At 38.0% G+C, this 14,909-nt stretch overlaps 1 protein-coding gene across 5 annotated transcripts in view; it reads right to left on the bottom strand.

Annotated features, from left to right (window-relative positions):
• Positions 1-14,909, bottom strand: part of MYO16 (myosin XVI) — a 712,290-nt gene that overhangs the window by 477,967 nt on the left and 219,414 nt on the right. For all 5 annotated transcript variants that reach the window (XM_011521062.2, XM_047430183.1, NM_015011.3 and 2 more), the window contains exon 4: positions 2,456-2,599. In XM_011521062.2, coding sequence (XP_011519364.1) covers positions 2,456-2,599 — 144 coding nt within the window. The remainder of the gene's footprint in view (positions 1-2,455; positions 2,600-14,909) is intronic.

Below are 14,909 nucleotides of genomic sequence, written 5' to 3'. Positions count from 1 at the left end.
GTACTTATAGATACTGCACCTGAGTCACTACACTGTTATTTTATGAGCTATTTTGCTTGAAATGTAACTCAGATCTGACTCTTCTTTTCTTTGTCATAATTTGGTTCATCAATTCAGGGCTGTTCCTGCAATATTTAATTGTGAGTATCATGTGAGATACCACGATCTAGACTCAGTAGAGACTACAGAAAGAAGGCAAGTCCTCTTGCTCTTTCCGATCAGAAATAAGAAACTGCTACATTCAGAATGGAGGAAGGGAATCCTGGCTGGCAGTGAAACTGAGATCTCACAAACCTTTCTGAACTCAAGAAACTGAAGCCTGTGTCCAGACATTTGCATTGAGGAAATGGAAGCAGGATTTAAAAATTTTAAGCACAACCATATGAATATTCATTTGTGAGAATAAGTATGGCCATTTTGCATGCAGGAAGAAAGAGCTTCTTTTGGCACGGCTTAATTTAATTAATAATAATTAGTCAGAGAAAAGAAATAAGGATGGGCTTTGAAAAAAATTAAAACAAGTATTTAGAAAAAAAGAAATCAGAACATAGAAAAACTGCAAAAGCCATGAATCAAGCCTATCTCATTCTTTTATAATTAAAGCAGCTAGTTGAACTATCAAAAAATGTATCAAACAACTACTATGAACGTAGTTCCTCCTTAAATGACCCAGCTGCGTGCTCTATGAGTTGTTAGCATTCTAAAGATGTCTAAAGTTGATCAGGTCACAGCATTACTCGAAAGGCGATTTGGTTCCTTTCTGTAATATATTTTATAGTTTTTTTCAATTCTGGAGAAATTCTATGGCCTTTATGGTGAACCGGCAATTTAGTGCCTCTTAGGCTCTGTATCTACAAAACAAAAATCTTGTTTTATAAATGAGTCAGGTAGATTTTCATGCTTTTTTATATACAGTACTAGCCCTCTAAAAATTTATATTTCAGCTAAATAATCTTTATTTCCTTTGTCTTTCCTTAATATACCCTCCATCTTCCAGAATTTGAAAGAAATACACTTTTAGTGACATATATTTCTACTGTAAAAAAAAAAAAAGAAAGTGTACATATTCTTGAAGGACAAATCAGAGAAAACTAGACAAAATTAAACCTCCTACAAGATTAAGACAGTCCCAATATACAGCCTTTAATCCCAAAATATTTTTGTTCAGAATTTTAAGAGGGGGGGAAGAGGGGCAGTATGGTGTATTTAAAATGTTTTCCAGAAAAAAGCTATGCTCCCTAGTAGTGTAGATGCGATCTTATTGGGGAATAAGGTCTTTGGAGATGTGATCAAGTTAAATGAGGCCACCTGCCTTAGGGCGGGCCCTAAATCCTATGACTGGTATCTTCTGAAAGGAAAGAATGAGAGATTTGGACACACTGACACAGAAGAAAGTCATGTGCTGATGGAGGCAGAGACTGGAGTGATGCTGCTATAATCTAAGGAACATCAGGGACTGCAGGGGTCACTGTAACTAGGAAGCACCAAGGAAAGTTTCATCACTAGGGCCTACAGGGGGAGCACGGCCCTGTCCACACCTTGACTTCAGACTCCTAACCTCCGCAAGGGTGCTTGTGTTCAGCCACCAACTAGGCGGTAATTGGTATGGCAGGCATGGGAAACCAACATTGGTAGCACGGCTCAGTGACAAAAAATGGACTTCTGACAATGAACTTGAGTTCTTAGCTATAGTTTGCTTTTGGCTTACGGCAAGTTGTTTAATATATTCGAGCATCAGTTTGCTTTTGTGTAAATTCTTGAGAGTCTACATAAAAAAATGTGAAAATCCAGTTGCATAATAGCAAGGCATTAAGAAGTTAATTTTTTAAATAAATAAAATAAAAGCAAATCATTCTTGCTCATATATTCCAGTGTGTTTTCTAAAAATTGTAAATAGTTTCTTGAAATACTTTCTAGAGATCACTATTCCAAAATAAAGTATGTGTGAGGATCAACGTCTGGATGTAAGATTAACTGAAAATAACAACCAAAACAACAAACTCCAATGCTTTTTATATTTAAAGTTCCCGTTTTCATGTAAACAAACATTGTAGACACTTCTTTACTAGATGTAACCAAGAAAAAAAAAGATTCAATATAAACCATATCTCCTTATAATGTTATGCCTCTTTGGCTAAAAATTTAAAAATGAGAATGAATTGAAAAGCAAAATTATCAAACCATTTTAGTTGAAACTGACTTGTATCAAGGCATATAATTCCCAAGGAAAGGCAAGAGAAGTTGCATTTGGCATAGTATCTGCACAAATTGTTTTATAAACTATGTGACCCACAACCTTAGTCTCTAATTATCTTGTGTTCTAGGGAGATACATGATAACATATGCAGATTTTTCTCAACCAAAATATTACATATTGTAAAATAGCATTAGTTAAATATATAGCCTTTTACATGCCATCAAATCTTCAAATGGTAAACTGAATTGCTTTACTTACTAATACAAGAAGCAGGACAATATCAGGGTTATCGCAGGCACAGGCAATGTGCATGGGCGTCCAGAAGTCTTCATCCTGGTGGTTGACGTTGACTCCTCTGTCAATCAGAATTTCTGCAATGAAGGCATTATCATACCGAGCACACTAAAAGAAAGAATACAAGGAAATATCAAATTATTACAAACTGTGATATGGCTTATTCCAAATGTCCACAGATTTAAAAAAAAACTTCAATACCAATTTTGGGAGTTGAGAGGTGAAGCTAACCTGGGAAAAGATGTATTTCCCCAACTAACCAACAAGGAAAAGAACATACGCAAGACTTCTGGGGAACTGGGTCAAGGAACAGCAGACAGAAAGAAGAAAATCAGGGTAGATAGTAGGAAGGTCGAAAAAAGTACTTCACTTACTGGTTTTTATTTCATTTGTAGATAGGATTATTTAAAAAAAACTTGAACCATTCACAATAATTATCTTTCTAAAAATACAGAGTTGATCATAATACCCTTCTACTCTAAAACATGCATCCTTTGTCACTGTCAAAAGAATAAAGTGTAACTATTTAATGGCATCCAAGATAGACAAGGCCCTTCAGAATCCCTCTAACTTAATCCCTCAACATTCCCATCTGTAACCTTCACCCTAGTCACGTTTCACAGCATGTCATATTGTAAGAGTTAACAGCTGAAATTTAAGAGTCTCCTAAAATGAATTTTAATGATTTTATAATGTTGCATTTTATATATGTTCAATAATTTACTAAATCAAACCATCCAGCAACTTAACTTTATTTACTATTTATAGTTCAAACTCAGGTAAATATTGTATATATAAGTCAGGGCTGGCATCACGGGTGTACAATCTATGCAACTGCACTTAGATGAGTCCTGTACCTTGATGTTCTGCCTTTACCATCTTGAATGTTCAATTTTGAAAAGTCCCAGATATTTATTTGCATTGGCCTCTTCAAATCATCCAGTCCTTTTATGAGTATTTTTCTTTTTCTTTTTCTTTTTTTTTTTTTTTGAAACAGAGTCTCACTTTGTCACCAGAATGGAGTGCAGTGGCGCGATCTCAGCTCACTGCAACCTCCACTTCCCAGGTTCAAGTAATTCTCCTGCCTCAGCCTCCTGAGTAGCTGGGACTAGAGGTGCATGCCACCACACCCAGCTAATTTTTGTATTTTTAGTAGAGATGGGGTTTCACCATGTTGGCCAGGATGGTCTCAATCTCTTGACATCGTGATCCGCCCACCTCGGCCTCCCAAAGTGCTGGGATTACAGGCGAGAACCACCACACCCAGCCTTACGAGTATCTTTCATATTTACATCTATAAGTTACATAATGCTAAATGCATATTAGTACAATTAGTTTTTAAAAACCTATTATTAAATAGGTCAGCAAAATTTCTGGGTTATGAGATACATACTTTTTCTGTGATGTGTATGCATAGAACAGATTTCTCTCCCCAAAGGAATGTCAATCAATATCCCACTGGAAGCACTGGCACACAAATTTACCCACCAATTTACTGGATAGTACCATTAAAAACAAATCATTGTAGAATTTCTGCTTCCCTGTAACAGAGACCAGATGTACCTTCCTGCTTGAATCAACTAAAAAAGAAAAACAAAATATATGACCTCTGAATGATGGGCAGCAAACAAAATAAGCCCTACTACTGTTCCAGCCTCCTACCTTGAGAGAGTTCCCAAGCTACAGCACAGGGAGAAGAACCTGGCTTGACCAGGGCTGGCTCTTGAAATGTCTTGAGAGACCAGGGTGGCTAAATTTCAGAGCAGAGTAGCAGAGAGGACAAAGCTGCACAGAGAAAAACTTTAAAGTTTTAAAGAATGCCTCCCTCAAGTGCTCAGCTGAATAATGATCAGCACTTGCACTCTAGGAAACTGCCCAAGGTCAGGCAAAGAACTGCCTGAAAAGAAAGAGGACTCAGGGCTCATAAGTTGCAAGAAACGGTGCCTGTTCCTGCCAACCAGACTGAAAACCGTGTAACTGACAGAGCACTGGGTAGAGTACTAGATGTGTTTTGCTTCAGTGGAGGGAAATATGAGTCCTAAACTAAATGCTGTTCTGTTCCCAACTAAAAAATTTCAAATTCAGGCCCTGAAAAGATGAAACTGTTTCCAAATAACTTAGTAGCCCCCAAAGAGTTCAGGATTATTTACAAAAATATTGAATACCCAACAAGGCAAAATTTACTCTGTCTAGAATCCACCAAAAAAATTGCCAAGTATACAAAAAAGCAGGAAAATAGGATCCACAATGAACAGAAAAATTGATAATGGAAACAAATGAAGAAGAGATACACCTGTTAGAATGAGCAAATCAGGTGTTAAAACCGTATTTATAACTATATTCCCTATGTTCAGAAAGTGAGGGGATCTATTGAAGATGTTAAGTACATAAATGAAAGATATTAAAAAGACTCAAATTTAACTTTCAGAGATGAGAACTTTAATGGCTTAGATGGGATCAACAGCAGACTAGATATTTCAGAAGAAAAGATGAATGAAATCCAAAGCAGCAACATAAATTAAACAAAATATGACAAGGAAAGAAAAATGATTTTTTAAAAATGGCAGAGCATCAGTGATCTGTGAGAGATCTTTTTAAAAGATTATATCAAAATGAAGAGCACTGAGAATTGTGACTGTGAGTTATATATATTTTTTCATTTAGTATACTTAAAATATAATTGTTTAAAAATCACAAGAGAGTATAAGGCTTATAATCTATACAGATTAAAATATATCACAGCAATAAAACAAAGGCGGGAAGGGGAGAAATGAAAACATAATATTGTAAGGAATGTTTTTATGCTACATGTGAATGGGTAGGATGCCACCTGAAACAAGGGAGGGTTATGTCAAATATGTATCCTAAAAATACTAAAGCAACCACCAAAATAACATGCACCGTGCGTAATACCGCTAAAGAGTTAAAATTGAATCACGAAAAATACTCAAACCTAAAGAAGGCAGAAAAAGAGGAAAGAAAAACAAATGACACAAGTACTAAAAAAAAGGAAGATGGTAGATTTCAACCAAACATATAAGTAACCATATAAGTAAGTGCAAATATTCTAAATGACACAGTTAAAAGGCAGGGAGTATTAGACTGGATAACAAAGCAAGAGCTAATAATTGTCTCCAAGAAAACTTCCACCCCTTCCACTGAAACCAGGAAGATGACAAGCATGTTCACTTTTACCACTTCCCTTCAACATTCCACTGGCAGTACTAGCCATGGCAAAAAGGAATGAATAAGAAGCCAAATTAATCTAGATTGAAAAGCAAATATTAAAACTGCCATTATTCGCATATGACATGATCATCTATGTAGAAAATATAATGGAATATACAAAGTTATTAGAACCAATAATTAAGATAGCAAATTTGAAAGATACAAGATCACTATACAAAAAACAAAGATATTTCTATATGCTAGTGGTAAGCCTTTGAAAAATAATTTTTAAATTAAGATAGCATTAAGAATATTGAAATACTTAGGGACAAATCTGACAAAATATCAGTAAGACCTGCACACCAAAATCAACAAAACGTTAGTGAGATAATTTTTTAAACCTAAATAAATGGAAATTTAGTGTGTTCTTGGGTCAGAAGATGCAATATTGTTAAGAAACCAGTCCTTCCCAAATTGATCTGTAGATTCAATCCAAATGTGTCATAATTCCAGAAGGGTTTTTTTTTATAGATATTGAAAAGCTGAATCTAAAATTCATAAGTTAATGCAAAGGACCTAAAATTGCCCAAAGAACTTTAGGGTGGTGGAACCCAAAATTCATGGACTAAAGCTAACTAATTTCAAGACTTGTTATGAAGTTATAGCAATCAAAGCAGTGTGGTGTTGGCATAAAATGAAATTAATCAATGAAACATAATAGAGAATTTAGAAATAGATCAATTCATGTATAGACAACTAATTTTCAAGAAACTGGCAAGGGCAATTCAGTGAAGAAAGAATGTTCTTTCAGTCAATTATACTGAAACAATTGGGTACACACATGTATAAAAATACTTTTGACCTATATTTTGTCCTATATAAAAATATTACTCATAATGTAAAATTGCAAAAAATGTAAAACCAAAAGTTACAAAAGTTCTAAAAAGAACATAACAGAAAATCTTAGTATGATACTAAAAATGCAGCCTATCAGGGGAAATATTAGCAAATTGAATTTAATTAAAACAAAAATCCTCTACCCTTCAGAAGATACTTCTCAGTGAATAAAAAGACAAGCCATAACCTAAGACAAAATATTCACAAAACACCCATCTGTTAAAGACATTTATCAAGAATATACAAAGAACTCTCAAAATTCAGTATTTCAAAAGAAACAAACAGCTTCAAAGATAAGGCAAAATATTTAATCTCTCACTTCACCAAAAAAATGGGTGTTCAAATTACAGTTCACAATCATGATACACTAACTGAATACTCATACCATCCCCTATTATCAGATCGTCTCAAGAGTGTACAACAACCACCGTGAAAAAGCATGGTGTGAGGTCGCTGAAGAGTATGGAGGAATGTATTAGCAGACACCATTATTAGGATTCAAGTAAGCAATAGGTGCAATGACAAATGCGAATTCTTACAGAATAATTTTGGTTTTGAACTAAGGTCTTTCTGTATCTGATGTTCTGGGTGATGTGTAGCAATAAAAAAACTGTCACTAGACTCAGTGCCTTGACCGTATGAACTGAGGCCCCATCCCCTGGAGCTTCAGGTTTGGGTACAAGGACACAGAAGGTGAGTGGCACAGTATGAAAGTTCAATAAATTTGATGTTAGAATGTGAGGCCCGGATCTACTTCATTTTAGGAAATTCATATGCAAGTAATTCCTTTTCTGCTCTCTTTAGCTTTGTGATAGCTCAGCGTATAATCAATAAAGATGTGACCTCCTCCTTCTGTGCCTGTCAAGATATCCTCGACCTGCACCTCAGGAATCTACATTTATATTCAGATACCTGAAGCTTGGATTTTCACTGTCTTTCACCAAACAGAGTTAATTAGATCCAGTGTTGAAAGTGATATCAGCCCCTCTCAAGTGATATAATTTTGGGAATCACATTTCAGAGGATTATGAATAATAATTTGACAGCAATAAATACTTTCTAGTCACTCTTGTCTGAAAAGAGTGTGATGGTGGAACATTCCTGTTACAATGTTCTTATAATATTGTTATGTAGTAAATCTACTTCCCTAGAAAGAATTTTCTTCAAGCCAGGAAATATTCCTCCCAATTCAGGTTGTTCTTCCTTATGTCAGCCACTTTCTGGTGACACTTTATGGCACCAAGAAAGTGACTGAACCCACATTCTGTCATGCCCAGCAGAACTCCAACACCACCAGGTCCTCCACCTGCAGCCTGGAGCCAGGTCCCCAAGCTCCTGCTGTCACCTTCATTTACCTCTCAAAATGCCAAGAAGAGCTAGTTAAGGTGGGACCCAGTGCAAAATGAAAATTCATGGCTTCCAGTTTTAAAATTATTGACGATTTCAAGATAGTGATATCAGAGGGTGAAATCAAGCATGGTACCTTTCTAAAAAGAAGGCCCCGTGTGACTATATGGGTAACCTGCCTGTGATGCCTGCCCTGAATTACCAAGCCCTTTAATCAACTAAGCTCCTAGATTCCTTCATGGCCACAGATTACTCCCCTCCATGGAATGATGCGAACCCAGCCCAATTTCCACTTCTGGAAATGTCCAGAGAACCTAAATGGAAGTCAGCCTCTCTGAAAACACCATCTCTCCTGCAGCCTTGTCCAGTGTAGGGAAACTTATTCTTCCACAGAGCACTAAAAAAGCTTGGATATCTTCTGAGCTTATCATTGATTCTTCTGGAATCACTGAACGCTTACATTGATGTGCTTCTTTCTAAGATTTACCCAATCCTTATGTACTACCTCATCTCCCAACCTGGTCACTCTTCTCTGTCATGGAAGACTTGGGGACCATGATGACATCCTTCTCTCCACTTAGAACACCATCAACAGAGGAAGCATTAATGATATCACTTACTCCACATAAGATCCCCAAAATGTCATCCCTCCTGAACACTATCAACAGAGGAAGCGTTAACAATACCACTTACTCCACATAAGAACCCCAAAATGTCATCCCTCCTGGACTCCACCAATCTTTATCCACACCTCTGGTTTGTATTAGCAAGACTGGCTTCACTCTGAAATATTAAATTCTGGCATCCCAATCTATGACTACAATACCTCATTCTGCCTCCTAAGACAAACTGAGAGAGCAAAGTGACGAGAGAGCAAGGCCTTCCTCAAAGGTTGTCCAAAGCTTTGACCGTGTGGTTAGAATGTGTCAACAAATCTTTTCAACACAGCATCAGCAGTTCACAGCTTCTCTTGTACTGCACTATTTCATTTGTAACTTTCTAAACAAAGGTAATATGTCTTAATATACAAACTCAACACAATGCACATTATTGATTCATCTGAAAGTACTGAAAATCATAGGAACCAAATGACAAGCAAAGGGAACTTCGAACTTAAAATGCATTGTCAATTTTTTTTTTCTGCTGTCTTGGTGTAAGGGGTGGTTTCTGGATCCTGGCCCTTCTGATTGGCTAATGAACATATCATGAATGACCCTGAAATCTATCACTCAGTAAATCAGAAAATCATTACAAATATTTACAAATCACACATCAAGTCTGAAGATTCAAATCAAATTCTGTGGTTCATACATAAGAGTTATCTTTCACCAATTTTTAAAATGAGCGTTGGATCTATTTTAACATGACTTTTCACAAGTCTACATGTTTTACAATGCAAGCTTCCCCTTCTCTTCTCTGTAGTGGTTACGGAGCAGTCATGGCAGAGGAGACTAGAGAAATAATTACTAGGAAACATCCAGTTTGATCCAGGGTTGTCTTCGTGAATGTCATGTGCCAGGCACAGTTCTACCAGTAAATTAAAAAACAACAACAACAACAAAACTCTGAACTTTTAGGTAGCTATGGGGGAAGAAGAAGTGACGTGAGGTGCACAATTTGAGTGAGATATAGTCCATGTTTTTGTCCTATGTTTATGAGTTCTCAGTAGTTCAAAGAACATTTCTACAGTGAAAGTCAGAAACAGTGACAGAGAGAGAAGAAAAGTAGCGGACAAAATAGATAAATTTATATCAGTAGCAAAATAAATTTAAATTTATTGCAATTTCTCAAAATCTAACATGATTCTGGAACTTCCATACGCTTGTTTTTATTCAACAGCAATACCGCAGACCGGCCCTTTCAGCCTGTGCTTGAATCTTTGCAAACTCTCGTCCACTTCTCTGCCACCATGTCACATTGAAGGATCATATTCACTGTAGTGTTATCTTGAACATACTTATTTTTGCTTTTCATGATCTTCTCTCTGGCAAATATTATACTCCAGATTATCTTGCCATAGATAAACTACCCAGAATGCTGTGAGTTGAATCATATTTATTATTTCTATTTGCACTGCAGAGAGCCGCAGCTTCCAGCCAATTGAACCAGACTCTAAACACCGAACCACATCCAGAAATTTTAAAATCCTAAAAACCTGTTATCCTTTTGGGTGAATGTAAACCAATCTCCTTCATCAGCAGCACTGGTTTGCTGCATTTTAAATTCTCTAGATTTTATTAGGCAACACTATATTCCAGCTGTACTTGGCAAGGTATATATAAAGGTGAATTACGTAGTAACTACTCTTAAGAAATAGTGCTGTTTGATATTGTGAGGTTTATGATAAAAGGTATACATAGCATTCTATGGAGTCACAGCAGAAGGTACCTAATAGCCTGATAGGAATTGGATAATTGAATACGGGAACACAGGAGCTTGTCTTGAAGGATCAAGAGGCAGTGAACAAGTGGGTGCGGCCTGGGGTGAGACATTCATATATCTGTTAGTTAAACGTACATATTCACTGAGGAACTACTATGCCCCCAGTGCTGTGCTAAGCCAGAGGGCTATTATAAACAAGAACTCACCTCAGGACCAACAACCTACAACTGGGGGATGACGCAGGCAGAAAGCTGAGATGGGACCGTGGTGAGCTGCTGGCCCGTCTCGGTAGAGCTCCCCAAAGTAAGAAACAGCCTGAGTGATATTGAGGAGGAATGGGATCAGCCATTTGTGGAATTATAAGCAGTTTGGTACATCTAGAGAGTAATGTAAATTATTAGGGTTGCTTAAAGAAAGACTTTCTAAGTAGGTGAGTTTCAGGCTGATAAGTAAGGAAACCCTTTCTTGCTACAAAACTCTAGTTTCTCCAGGAAAGATTTTGTTACCAGTGGCTTTGAAGGTGAATGTCTGCAAGTTTCCTTAGGGGAGCTATAATTCTATAAGAAGTCTGTGGAAAATGCCTTGTTATCTGCCTTCACCCTGTCAGGAAAGAGTTCTGATTCTTAATAATTTGGGGTCCTTATTACAAAGATATAAAAACAAAACGAAACACAAAATCTAGTTGCTATCTTCACTGGGGCCTTTCTTAGATCATCTGATGCAGAGCAAATCAGGCCCGTGTGGTGTATTCCTAAAAAATGGAAAACTCATCCATTGGGTTTCCAGTAGCATTTAAAGCATCATCACAATGTGCTCTTCTGTTGCCCTTTTGTCCCCTAAGCCATGCATGCAGGGAGTCATGATAAAAATACATCCGCAGGCAGGTCAAGGTTACGATTCTCTTCCAAGATTCAGCTGGATATCTCACTAATGATCTAAAATTCTGAACTAGGGACTTTCCAGTTATGGATGTGATGGTTCTCAAGGACCCAAAAGACAATGAATTTGAAAAAAGCCACATCCAGCCAGGATTTTGAATCTTGAATTGCACCCCTGGGGTTATGTGAAGAGTCTCTTGTTCACAGTCCGTGGCCCCTCCATTGCCTGTTTGCCAGCGACAGGCAGCACCCTGCAGCGCTCACCCTCAGACATCAGTATCACCCAACTTGCCTGGCTGTGCCCGCTCTCTTTCCTGCCCCTTGCCTGCCTTCTGCTTCCTGCTGCTGCATCCTCCATGGGGCCCCCATTCCACATCCTCCAAGGAACATGCAGGAACAGCCCCTGTGAGGTCCTTGGAGGATGTGGAGTGGGGGCCCCGTGTGGAATACCTTCCTGTGCAGAGGGGATATTGTCTTCTGCTGTGATTGATGTTCTTGCTAGAGTCTGCCCTTGTAGCTCTTGCTCTTTTTCTTCTAGGAAAGCAAAAAAGGGGCTTGGAGTTCAATGGCCAATGTCCAGGTGGGTGGGCAGGGTTACTGGTGGACAACTTCCACACAGCAACTATTTTTGTTCTTTAATACCTAGACATTTTTAAAAATAAGATATTTCTCTAGGCATTTTCTCTAGAATCCTGATATTCTGCCTCTTTACAAAATACATTATTTTCTGCTAGACTTTGAAGATATTAGGCTGTTGAACCACCCCTACTGTAGTAAGGTGCTAATTATCTCTGCTTCTTATAGCATGCAAGCCTTTAGAGAAACTGATGGTGAAGAGCAAAGAGCAGCTCGGTTTTGGGCAGCACATTTTCTTGTTTGAGTAGCCAAATTATTAAATTATTCAAAATTTAAACTTTGAATAAAAACAGTCTTAACTAATTTTATATGTTGGTTTTATTATATGAAACACGCATGTTTCTTATTTAAAATGTTCAAGTCATTTGTAAAAGGAAACAGAAAATAATTACAAAACCTGGTCCCCTTTTCCCCAACCTGAGTCACTGTTGAAAATTTCTTATCTGGTCTTCAAGATCCTCCGTTGGCTGTTAAAAGGATTCTCTCTTTCTCTCTCATATATCCGATTGTGCTATATGCACTATTCTGTAACCCGCTTTGGGCATGTATAATATGTTTTGGACATAGTTTCAGATACATTATGGCTCAATTTTTTTTTTTTTTTTTTTTTGAGATGGAGTCTTGCTCTGTCACCCAGGCTGGAGTGCAGTGGCGTGATCTCAGCTCACTGCAAGCTCCACCTCCCAGGTTCACAACATTCTCCTTCCTCAGCCTCCCAAGTAGCTGGGATTACAGGCGCCCACCACCACGCCCGGCTAATTTTTTGTATTTTTAGTAGAGACAGGGTTTCGTCATGTTAGCCAGGGTGGTCTCGATCTCCTGACCTCGTGTCTGCCCGCCTCGGCCTCCCAAAGTGCTTGAGATTACAGGGCGTGAGTCACCATGCCTGGCCAGCTGAATATTTTTAACAGCTACATGAATTCCACTGTTTAAATTCCTATATCCATGTTACAACTAGAATTCACTTGATCAAAGAAAGAGTAGTTCTTATTTCTAATATATTTCACCTGAGCTTGGCTATAGTCTGAGGTGGAGGGTTCAGTTACCATTGGGAGCGCCTTCTCAATTGCTCATCGAATAAAGGTAATAACAAAACCCTGGACAACATTTTAGCAAAACGTATGTAATACTGTTTTTTACTTCATAAACATAATTTTTTTTTTTGTAAAGAGTTAAATCTAAGGTTTCTTCTATACTGGCCTCATGAGACCAACTGCCTGGGATACAGACATTGTTACTTTTTGCAATTATTCCCCTTCTGTCTGTCAGAGTACCTGATACCTGCCATATGTTTAACACATGCATTCAATAAATGGTGGGGTAAAAAGATTAATTCAGATGTATTTGTTGAAATTTTATTAAAAATAAGATAAAACTAAAGATGCTATATGGCCAAAACATTAAAATATGTTTCTCAAATATCTACCTTTAATAGCAATTGAGTTAAACACAACTAAGTAATTTCTGCAGCTGATTCTTGATGCCCACACTCGCATTCTCTCTTTCCCTCAAAGTCGCTGATCGTCTATAATTAGAGCTCAGTGCTGATGAAGCATCAGGCTCTGTAATGTGGGACGCCCAAAAGGTGAGGCCAACAGCACAGATACTCACACTTGACATTTTAGATGGCTACATTGCCTTTTTCAGTACCTAAGACATTTTGAAACCCTGTAATTTCATCTCTCCAGCAACCTGCAATTTTTCATTTGTTTTTATTTATTTGGTAACCCCAGGAAAAGGAGACTTTAGCACTGAGCACCTCCTCCTTCAGCTGCCACGAGGTTTCCTTATCCGTCCTCCAGATTCATCCTCCACTTTGTCTTAGTCTCACAACCTTTGCATAACAACATAAAAATACAATATCCTTGCACTGGGTTGGGAGTTAATAAAGTGGCTTCCATCTACTTCATCAGTTTAACCTTCTCATTTCCTTTTCCTTCAGATGCTACCATTTATGAATCTTTATACTTTGTCACCTAGGCTTAGATTATACTCTGTATACTGTTACCTAGGTCTTCACCCAAAGAGACCCTTATATCCTTAGAGCTCATTCATTCATTCGTTGACTATGCATTGAAAATTCACTATGCATCACATGCTAAGAACAGAAAAGTATCCAAGACAGCCACAGTTTTTGAGATTTCAGTCTAGCAGAGAGAAAAAACCACATATTCCATTAATTATAATCTATTGTGACAAGATCTACGGAGAAGCAAGGAGTGTATGTTATGAGACCTTGGACAAGTATTCACTATGCATCACTTGCTAAGAAAAGTATCCAAGACAGTCACAGTTTTTGAGATTTCAGTCTAGCAGAGAGAAAAAGCCACATATTCCATTAATTATACCCCATTGTGGCAATATCTACAGAGAAGCAAGGAGTGTATGTTATGAGAGCTTGGACAAATGGGTTATTAAGCCGGACCAGGAGAGTGAGAAAAGCCTTTGTAACTGATGCCCAGAAGCAGCCACAACAAAATAATTGTGGCCCCATTGTTTGCCTCCTTCGCTATCATCTGCTTATCCCTCTCCAGTCCACTGCAATCAGTGGTTTATTTTTCTGTCTCCCTCAGATGACACAGTATATGCATTTTGCATCTTTTCACCCCAATATCTATCACAGTGTCAGATATTAATTAAGTAGTAACATTAATTAATTAGCTTATCTCCTTAACAAATCTACTGAGCATCTCCGAGTATCAGGCACTCTCCTGGGCATTATAATATTCATGAAAATATGACAAGTCCTATCTCTCATGGAGCTAACATTCTAGGAAATAGAAAATAGTCACATGAACCTATGATGGGTTTGGTGACAAGTGTGCTATAAAAGATGGGAAAGAACAAGATAAAGGAATGGAAGTGGAGTTGCTTGTGAGGCGTCAGTGGTGAGTTACTATACCCCATAGGGCAAGCCAGGGAGGGCTGCTCCTTTAGATCACGTTGAGCAGAGACCCACAGCAAGTCAGCAAGCGAGCCGTGTACATCTGAGAGGCATGTGCTGGGTGGAAACCCGGCAAGAGCACACGGAGCAGGAGCACGGGCCAGCGCTGAAGGAGCAGCAAGGTGGCCGGTGTCAGCAGAGCAGAGCGCAGAGGGAAAGTGACTGG

This window comes from Homo sapiens, chromosome 13 (genome assembly GCF_000001405.40).
Source record: "Homo sapiens chromosome 13, GRCh38.p14 Primary Assembly".
Lineage (NCBI taxonomy): Eukaryota > Metazoa > Chordata > Mammalia > Primates > Hominidae > Homo > Homo sapiens.
This window is presented reverse-complemented; position numbering and strand designations above follow the sequence as displayed.